At 43.1% G+C, this 10,718-nt stretch overlaps 1 protein-coding gene across 2 annotated transcripts in view, besides 1 other annotated feature; it reads left to right on the forward strand.

The window, feature by feature from the left end:
• FBXO36 (F-box protein 36) overlaps positions 1 to 7,331 on the forward strand; it is a 90,617-nt gene extending 83,286 nt beyond the window's left edge. For both annotated transcript variants that reach the window (NM_174899.5, XM_005246317.3), the window contains exon 4: positions 4,908 to 7,331. In NM_174899.5, the coding sequence (NP_777559.3) occupies positions 4,908 to 5,096 (189 nt within the window). In that variant the 3' untranslated portion in view covers positions 5,097 to 7,331. The remainder of the gene's footprint in view (positions 1 to 4,907) is intronic.
• Positions 1,001 to 1,190: a silencer, noted in NCBI's record as "fragment chr2:230871505-230871694 (GRCh37/hg19 assembly coordinates)". NCBI's record gives its function as "represses an EF-1alpha promoter that drives an FKBP-Casp9 reporter gene in an ReSE screen in HepG2 liver carcinoma cells {active_cell/tissue: HepG2}" and the evidence as "EXISTENCE:reporter gene assay evidence [ECO:0000049][PMID:32094911]".
• Positions 7,332 to 10,718: the final 3,387 nt, after the last annotated feature.

A 10,718-nucleotide genomic window follows, 5' to 3' on the forward strand; every position in this document is an offset into this window, starting at 1 on the left:
TCCTGAGTAGCTGGGATTACAGGTGTCCTCCTCCATACCTGGCTAATTTTTGTATTTTTAGTAGAGATGGGGTTTCACCATTTTGGCCAGGCTGATCTTAAACTCCTGACCTCAAGTGATCTGCCTACCTCGGCCTCCCAAAGTACTGAGATTACAGATGTGAGCCACCACGCCCAGCCCATAAGAACATTTATTGAGCACCTACTGTATGTCTAGCATTCCACTAAGTTTTCTAATTACATTTTTTATTTAGTTCTCATAGAAATCTTTAGATGTAGATACTATTATTATCCTCATTCTATTTTATTTTATTTTAGTTTTTTTTTTTTTTTTTTGAGGCAGACTCTTGCTCTGTTGCCTAGGCTGGCACAATCTTGGCTCACTGTAACCTCTGCCTCCTGGGTTCAAGCAATTCTCCTGCCTCAGCCTCCCAAGTAGCTGAGACTATAGGCGCATGCCACCATGCCCAGCTAATTTTCGTATTTTTAGTAGAGGCGGGGTTTCGCCATGTTGGTCAGGCTGGTCTCTAACTTCTTACATCAGGTGATCTGCCTGCCTTGGCCTCCCAAAGTGCTGGGATTACAGGCGTGAGCCACTGCGCCCTGCCATCCTATTCATAAGGAAGCTAAAACTCAGCAAGTCTAACTGATGTGCCCGAGGTCATATGGCCAGGGAGTTTCCCTCAGGCACCCGACTGCTGGACCGAGTGATATATGGATACACTTCAGGGCTCTGTGCAGTCAGTATGTAATTACTGAGCCCCTGCTGTGGGCCGGACACAGTGGTAGGTTCTGGGGACTTGAAGGTGAAAAGATGCACGTGTCCCTGCCTTTAAGGAGCTTACATTCTTGAGCAGAGCAAAGGAAGAATATGGCTGGGAATGAAGTGGGAGGGGCTGGGGAGTAGCAGGCAGATCTGCAGGCACATGGTCAAGGTGTTGTTTTCATGGAGCCTGTTAAGAGTGCGGTGTGCAGGGTCACCTCTACGAGACAGAAAGGCTCCCACGGCCAGACCTGACGCCGTAGTATCGCTTCTGCCTTAGAAGCATAAAGACACATTCCCAAGAGCCAGACTGTGTAGGGACTCTGTGAAAGGCACCCCAGCCCAGGGAGTCCATGGTGCTATTCCACAGTTGAGGATGGAAGTATCCAGTTATACTTAATGCCACCAGCAATCAGGATCATCCAGCTTTCTGCCTTTGCTCTGATTCTATGTTGACCAAGGCCTGGAGCCTGCAGCCTGGAGCTGTGGATGAGCAACCAGCATACTGGAAAGTAGAGCTCCACACCTGTCAGGGTGGGGCCAGTCTCGGACTGAGACAAGTTCACCAAGGTGTGCTGCCATTTGGGCACCTGCCTGGGGTGCCTAGTGGCTTGCCCCTGATAGCACCAGGCCTTGATGCTATCCATTTCCTCCAAAATGCAGTAGATAAGTCTGGAGAAACCACCAGTGCAGCTAGATGAGAAGGCTGAGGCCCAGGCCGGGAAAGAGATGGTCATGACAGGCATATAAACACATTCATCCTGATTGTGACTCAGGAATCACCGGGAGAACCACTTAGGAAGAAAACCACTCCTCTGTCCTTTGTTGGCTGTGGAGAGAGAGATTTTTTCCTCATGTCTACAAACCCTCTATGATCATAATTCCCATGTCTGGCCAAGCAGGTGAAGCCCCTGGGGCACAGGTGGAAACACAGATGCCAGGCCCATCCCCTGAGCATCTGGCTTGGTAGATCTGAGGTGGAACCAGCACTTGTGCTCTTAATGTGTTTTCTTGTGTTTACAGCAACCTGATTCTAAGGGTTTGGTCCAACAATTTTCTTTTTTTTTTTGTTACAGAGTCTCGCTCTGTTGCCCAGGCTGGAGTGCAGTGAAGCAATCTTGGCTTACTGCAATCTACCTCCCAGGTTCAAGCGATTCTCCCTCAGCCTCCCAAGTAGCTGGGACTACAGGCGCATGCCACCATACCTGGCTAATTTTTGTATTTTAGTAGAGACAGAGTTTCACCATGTTGGCCAGGCTGTTCTCGAATTCCTGATGTCAAATAATCCACCCTTCGGCCTCCCAAAGTTCTGGGATTACAGGAGCCTGCCACCACCCCTGGCTAATTTTTGTATTTTTAGTAGAGACAGGGTTTCACCATGTCGGTCTGGCTGGTCTCAAACTCCTGACCTCAAGTGATCTACCCACCTCGGCCTCGCAGAGTGCTGGGATTACAGGCATGAGCCACTGTGCTCATCCTGGCCCAAGAATTTGACCAATCGATATTAAGGTTGTACAGATCAAATGTCTCAGGGGACTCTAGAAGGCTGGAAGCTTGCGGGAGGAGATCTCCTAGCATCACTGCGCAGGCAGTGTGGTGTGTTTAAATAAGCAGGAGGCTGGAGAGCTGGGTTCTGTTCTGTTCTTCGCTCAGCCACTCCCCAGCATGAACCTGGAACAGCATCCTTCTCCCTTCTCTTCTCTCAGCCCTGGTTTTCCTATTTGCAAAGGGAGAGGTTTTAAATAGATAAGCCCTAAGATTCTCTTCAACTTGACAATTTATGTATGCAAAATTCATGCACCACCACCGGGGGGCGCTAAATCCATGGTTAGCTGGGCTTTGGATCTGAGTAGCCAAAACTATAGAACCTTTCGTTTTGCAACCTGGCAACTACTAAGCAAAAGATCGTCAGGGTTTGGGAGTCATAGATGGGGGTATTTTGTACACGAACTTATAATATAAAACAAAACTGTAAATATTTTCAGTATAAAATTTGATGAGTCATAAATGAAGTTATACTAGTGGAAATTTTAGCTCTTTTGAGAATTATTTCCTTTCCCCCCAAATCTTGTAGTTTCCACCCATAATCTCTATTACAAGACACATTGATATCCTGAAATGTACTGTGCTAGTAATGGGATAGTAATCCACATTGGTGCTGGAGTTCAGATCTTTTAAAGGAAGGTCAAATGATCTGTTTTTCATATTAAGACATTTTTAAAGTTTTCCTTTGTTTATATTTAGAATAGGTTGTAATCTGAGTAGAGGAACTAAACCTTGAAGGACTGTTGAAGGAGAGATAAGATAATGAGTGACCCTTCTAACATCAAAATGCTTTAAGGTCTGTAGATATCATATGATTCAGTGTTGCTGTTTAGCAATAACCATTATGTGACTATAATAGCTGTTGTGTTGATGTTTGCGCAGAAAGGATCTTAAGCAATTATGCCTTATTGTACTATTCATTTCTATTTGTAATTCATTCTCTTCCCTTATTGGAGTACTTTTAGAAGATCATGAAGTATGGAAGGAAGGAGTGGTGACTGCTTTCTGTTCAGAAGTGAACGTAGTGGTGTCAGGAGGTAGAGGTCACACTTACACATTTCTTCCTCCCCAGGAGGAAGTCAGGACACAGGGGGGCACAGCACAACAGGGCTGGCCAGGGCTGGTGCTGTTTGGGATAGGAGGTAGGATGGGCAGGGGGAAGCTGGGTATGGGCCAGGGAGGCTGCCCTGGTGCTCCATTATGAGGGGACAGCAATCATGCCTATGTTTGTGTGAACCCAAGATTTAGCTCCCACTTACAAGTAAGAATGTGCGCTATTTGGTTTCCCATTTCTGTGTTACTTTGCTTAGGATAACAGCCTTCAGCAGCATCCACACTGCTGCAAGGACATGGTTTCATTCTTTTTTTATGGTGTGCAGTGGCAAAAGTTAATAGAAGAATAGAACATCTTCTACTTTCAAGACCAAGAAGTGCTCACACCTTGCAGGAATTGGAGAAGGTTTGGATCACATCACCAGGGGTAGCATCTTGATGAGCTGAAGTGCTGGCTAAAGACAGACAGAAGATGGGGTGATGGTAGAGGGAGAAAGTTATAAATACAACTTCCGGCCGGGCACGGTGGCTCACGCCTGTAATCCCAGCACTCTGGGAGGCTGAGGCAGGCAGATTACAAGGTCAGGACTTCGAGACCAGCCTGATCAACGTGGCGAAAACCTGTCTCTATAAAAAAAAATACAAAAATTAGCCAGGCATGGTGGTGTGCACCTGTAGTACTAGCTACTTGGAAGGCTGAAGCAGCAGAATCACTTGAACCCAGTAGGCGGAGGTTGCAGTGAGCCGAGATCGCACCCCTGCACTCCAGCCTGGGCAACAGAGTGAGACTCTGTCTAAAAAAAATAAATAGATAGATAAAAAAATAGATAAGGCTGGGCACAGTGGCTCACGCCTGTAATCCCAGCACTTTGGGAGGCCAAGGTGGGCAGATCACCTGAGGTCGGGAGCTCAAGACCAGCCTGACCAACATGGAGAAACCCTGTCTCTACTAAAAATACAAAATTAGCTCAGTGTGGTGGCGCATGCCTGTAATCCCAGCTACTTGGGAGGCTGAGGCAGGAGAATCACTTGAACCCAGGAGGCAGAGATTGCAGTAAGCCGAGATTGCGCCATTGCACTCCAGCCTGGGCAACAAGAGCAAAACTCCATCTCAAAAATAAAAATAAAAATAAATAAATACATACATAGATAAATAGAGATGAATTGGAATTAACTAGAGGCAACAAACTTCATCCAGATGTTGACAGTGACTGATGGGACTTGGCCGCAGTGGGGTGGGGGTGAAGGTGGAGAATAACACATTTTCCCTTGCACGAGGGAGTGTTGTGTTGCCTGGTGTTGGTAGGAGGATGTTCTTTCTACTGCCGTCACTGGGAAGTTTAAGTGTGTGCAGAAGGGTATGTCCTTTAGATATATGTGCACTTACATATTTGTGTCTGGCTGTTTTCCTCAAAGAGGAGGTTTCTCAAGGCAGGACCTGTGTCTGGCACAGGTAGTGTTTCTCCAGTGTCCCACAGGCAGCAAGAGTTTGATAATGAGTTAACACATGTGTGCTGTAACCCACCTCTGACTTTTCCCACCCACAGCTGTGCATGTCTGATAAACTGTGGGAACAGATAGTCCAGTCGACCTGCGACACCATCACTCCTGACGTGAGGGCCCTGGCGGAGGACACAGGCTGGAGACAGCTGTTCTTCACCAACAAGCTCCAGCTCCAGCGGCAGCTCCGCAAGAGGAAACAAAAATATGGAAACCTGAGAGAAAAGCAACCTTAGGCACACATTTTCCTACCAGCAGGGAGCTCAGGCATGGCTGTGTTTCTCTTCAGTGTCCAAATCTCTTCTGTCTCCTTTTCTTAAGAACTAAGAGGTTTTGTTGATGCGTGGAGCCATTTGAAACTCGTAGGGGATTTGCACACAAATGCAGCAGAGTCTGGCTCCCCAGTGCCTTGCTAGAGTCACCGTCATTCTGAGGTCAAATCATGGCCCGAGGACAAGGGCTGTAAGACAGGGAGCCCCATAGGCCATCATCATCCTTATCCCACACCCATTATAAAAGAGGTTTCTATTGTATATAAACAAACAATAAATGATTATTAGCAGGTTTTTATTAGACATCTATTTTATCTAGGCATTAGAAAGGGTAATGGGGCTTTTGAATTTTTTCCTGGCATTGTGTCGTCTGCGTCCAGCCATGAAGCTGGTGGCTGAGTGTCCCCACCAGGAACTGTGAAGGGCACGTACCACGGGAGGCACTCAGGGTGGGTGCAGCTGCCTTCCCAACTTTGTTCTGCTAAGTCCATATTCAGGGCCCTATCCTTGTGAGCCCAGGATGCCAGGGTCCATCCCCGCATGTAGACAGCTTCCGACCTGGTGCTGGAGCATGACTGGAGAAGTGCAGGCATCCTGCTTGCGGACCTTGCTCAAAGTACAACTTCCCAGGACTACTTCACATTGTTAAATAAACCTATAAACATTTCTTTTCTTTTCTTTTTTTTTTTTTTTTTGTATTTTCTTTTTAGTAGAGGTGGAGTTTCGCCATGTAGGCCAGGCTGGTCTTGAACTCCTGACCTCAAGTGATCTACCTGCTCTGGCTTCCAAAGTGCTGGGATTACAGGCATGAGCCACTATGTCTGGCTAAAACCTATAAACATTTCTTAGAGAAATGCTGTTCCCCAAAGGAATGTGAACAGCTACCACTTTTAACAAGGATATTTAAGAAAACAGACTATGAGTTAACTAAGTAAAAATGTAAATATGGTTTGCATGCTGTTAACATGGCAGAGGGGTAAAAAGAATACAGTCCTGGGGAGAAAGGTCACTTCACTGAGAAGGCTTACTTAAAAATGTTTTTCTCCCTGCACTTTCATGATTATTAAGTACCCCTAGAAAATGAACTCATAGCAGCAAATAATCTAATGACTCCTTTTAGGTTACAGAGCAAAGTAGCTTTCTACTTCCACATCACATTATAATATAGCCTTATAATTTCTTCTTTCCTGCAACCTTCACTTTCCTACCTAGGAAAACTCACCTCCGGTGCCAGAGAAACTTCCCAGGATGCACTAGGGCCCTGTGAACAATACAGAAGTTGTGGACTCTGGCTCTTTGTCCCACCTAAGTCCTTCCAGAAGGGCTCTACAGCATGGCTTAGTGACATTAAAAAAAAAAACTGAACCCATGTTAATATCAAACAAGATTTTAATCTTCATTCACACACCCTTAAAACCCAGTCACGGGGCTCCCCGGTGCCAGTTTGAGACCGTCAACCTAGCCCTCTCTGCTTCTCATTGCTGGAGGTACACACAGTCAAAAGTTTTCCGTGACTGTGAAATCCAGTGCAATCTGCTTCCCAGCAGATGAGGAGCCTGACGTGGTTATGTCTGGATTTAGTCCAAGAACAGAGCAAAGCTTTAATTGTCAAGAGACCCAGGCCTCATTCTCCACTTAGGAGAGTTTGCTAGGGCAGGTACAGGTAAAGGTAACCAGCAGGCAGCTGAGAGCAAGAAGGCACGTGCTCTGCAGAGCTCTAGCTGCCTTGGCTCTCCCTGAGCTCCCAGACTTCACTCATGGCCTAATTTTCAATGACAGAACGTAGGTTTTATCGTGAGGATGCAGACACAACCACAATTACGTATGTCAACATAACTTCATAAATATGTAACTGTAACTTATTGGTAACATCAGTGCAAGATGATTAAAGCTTCATGTGTAGTATTTTATCAACAAACAGATTCTGAAAGCTTATGGACATGCGCAATAGTTGATTCAGCTTCAATCAATAAGAACATAAATATGGCAATTTGAAAACACTATGTATATACCTACTCACATATATATTATACTTACGATATATACTTATATGTAGTATATAATAATATTACATATAAAAATGTTATAAAAATAAATGCTAAAGTAAATAAAAAAAGAGCCATTAATATGTTAACTATTGTTAAATAATAGCTAAAATAATACAGATTATTAAATTATTTTAATACTTACTTGCCATAATAATCTGAGTGCCTTATTACTTGATTACAATTGTTTTTGCCAAAATAGGAACAATATCATCAAGTGAACATCCTGTGTCTCCCCAGCATCCTCAGTGGTTGAAACACTTTGTCCCTCCCTCCCCCATCTCATTTTCCATGTGAGGTTCCATGTGACGATCCCATAACATGGTAATAGGCAGCGATGGTCTTGACTTTCTGCTTCTATTAACAGCTTTCATTTCTATTTCTGCTTTCATGTGGATGGATAAATCTGCTTTATGTCTTAACATTTCAGAGTGAAATGCCACACAATTTTTTTTTTTTTTTTTTTTTGAGGCAGAGTTTTGCTCTTTTCACCCAGGCTGGAGTGCAATGGTGCAATCTCAGTTCATGGAACCCTCCACCTCCTGGGTTCAAGTGATTCTCCTGCCTCAGTTTCCCGAGTAGCTGGGATTATAGGAGCCTGCCACAATGCCCTGCTAATTTTTGTATTTTTAGTAAAAACAGGGTTTCACCATGTTGGCCAGGCTGGTCTCGAACTCTTGACCTCACGTGACCTGCCCGCCTCAGCCTCCCAAAGTGCTGGAATTACAGGTGTGAGCCACGCTGCCCAGCCTTACAGCATTTTATAATCTTGTCCTTTTTCATCTTTTCAATCAACTGTGTTTCTACTCTGTTCTCATTTACCATTGTAATTATACAATACTGAAAATTTCCAATGGTTTATATATTTAGTGGTATAAGAACAATCTATTAACAATAGAAAATACATATTTTTAATTTATAACTAAATAATAAACATATTTTACTTAATGTCAAGTTCTACTACTACTTTTTTCCCAAACAGGTTGGCATATGTATGCATTAAGCCTCAGCAATATAGAATCCAAAATTTTTTCATTCTTTTTTTTTTTTGAGACAGAATCTTGCTGCTGTCGCCCAGGCTGGAGTGCAATGGTACAATCTCGGCTCACTGCAATCTCTGCCTCCTGGGTTCAAGCAATTCTCCTGCCTCAGCCTCCCAAGTAGCTGGGATTACAGACATGTGCCACCATACCGGGCTAATTTTTGTATTTTTAATAGAGACAGAGTTTCACCATGTTGGCCAGGCTGGTCTCAAACTCCTTACCTCGTCATCCACCCACCTTGGCCTCCCAAAGTGCTGGGATTACAGGCATGAGCCACCGTGCCCGGCCTAAAATGTTTTCTTCTACTGAGTAGGCCCCAGAACTAAGGCTGAGGTGATCATGTGGGGAGGGACTGCAAGCAGGGGTAAGGACAATGCACCAGGTACCACTTGTCATTGTTTTGTGAGCTGCTTGTGTATATAATGGTTATCAGTCTTTATTTATTACCCCAAACTGACTCCTGAAATACCGAAGAATAATATAAAACAACCTTACTAAAAACAGAAAAGTTCATCACAGTTTTTTGCTCTGAGTTTTAGTATAATGACCTCTATCTTCAGTTTGTATTAATATACTGTGAGAGCGTATCCAAGCTTTTCAATTGTGAGTAGTTGGTTTCAACTTGAAATGGATGTCTTTGATGTCATGTTAAAAACATCAAGTGATAAAAAATATCTTGAGACAAATGACAATGGAAACACAATATCAAAAGCAATCTAAGAGGGAAGTTTATAGCAATAAATGCCTATATTAAAAAAGAAGAAAGACCCCAGGCCAGGTGCAGTGGCTCATTCCTCTAATCATGGCACTTTGGGAAGCTGAAACGGGAGGATCCTTTGAGCCCAGGAGTTCAAGACCAGCCTGGGCAATATAAGGAGACCCTGTCTCTACAAAAAATAAAAAGATCAGCCCAGCATGGTGGCACAGGCCTGTGGTCCCAGCTACTTGGGAGGCTGAGGTGAGAGGATCGCTTGAGCCCAGAGGTCGAAGCTCTAGTGAGCTGTGATCACACCCCTGCACTCCAGGCTGGGCAACAGAGTAAGACTGTTTCAAAAAAAAAAAAAAAGGAAAAAGAAATACCCTAAATAAATAGCCTAACATTACATCTCAAGGAGCCAGTAGAAGAACAAACTAAATCCAAAGTTAGCAGAAGGAAGGAAATAAAGATTCGAACAGAAAAAATCAAATAGAGAACAGAAAAACCATAGGAAAAACTCAATAAAACCAAGAGTTAGTTCTTCGAAAAAATAAACAAAATCAGCAAACCCCTAGCTAAACTAAGGAAAAAAGAAGACTCAAATAAAATCAGAGATGAAAGTGGAGCCATTCCAACAGATGCCTCAGAAATAAAAGGAATCATAAGGGACTATTATGAATAATTATATGCCAACAAATTGTATAACCTAGAAGAAATGGATAAGTTCCTAGAAAAGTATAACCCACCAAGATTGAATTGATGAGAAATAGAAAGCTTGAACAGAATAACAAGTGAAGAGATTGAAGAAGCAATTAAAAACCTTCCAGTGAAGAAAATCTCAGGACCAGATGGCTTTCGTGGTTGATTTCTACAAACATACAAAGAAGAATTGTCACCAATACTTCTTAAAGACTTCCGAATAATAGAGCTAGAGGGAATACTTCCAAACATATTTTATGAGACCAGCATCATCTTGATACCAAAGCCAGACAAAAACACAAGACAAGAAAAGAAAACTTCAGGCCAGCATCTCTGATGAGCATTGATGCGAAAATCCTTCATAAAATATTAGAAAACTGAATTCAACAACACAAAAAGATTGTACATCAAGACAAAGTGAGATTTATCTCTGGCATGCAAAGCAGGTTTGACATACACAAATCAATCAGTGTGATACATTATCTTAACAGAATGAAAGAGAAAATACATAATTATCTTAATTGACAAACATTTGACAAAGTTCAGTATCCTTTCTTAATGAAAACTTAACTATGTATAGAAGGAAAGTTCCTCAACATAATAAAGGCAGTTTACAAAGACCTCACAGCTAACAACATAACCAACAAGGAAAAACTGAAAACTTTTTCCACTAAGATCCAGTACAAGGCAGGGATGCTCACATTCACCACTTCTATTCAACATAGTACTGCAAGTGCTTGCTAGCAAGAGCAATCAGACAAGAAAAAGAAAGAAAAACATCCAAGTTGAAAAGGAAGAAGTAAAATTATCTCTATTTGCAGATGACATGATTCTATAGGTAGAAAACCCCAAAGATTTGACAAAAAACTGTAACTAATAAATGAAGTCAGTAAAGTTGCAGGATACAAAATCAACATACAAAAAAATCAGTAGCATATCTATACACAATTCTTTTTCTAGCTGAAAAAGAATTCAAGAAACCAGTCACATTTACGACAGCATCACAAACTAAAATATCTGGCCAGGTGCGGTGGCTCATGCCTGTAATTCCAGTACTTTGGGAGGCCGAGGTGGGTGGATCACCCGAGGTCAGGAGTTCAAG

This window comes from Homo sapiens, chromosome 2 (genome assembly GCF_000001405.40).
Source record: "Homo sapiens chromosome 2, GRCh38.p14 Primary Assembly".
In the NCBI taxonomy this organism is placed as follows: Eukaryota; Metazoa; Chordata; class Mammalia; order Primates; family Hominidae; genus Homo; species Homo sapiens.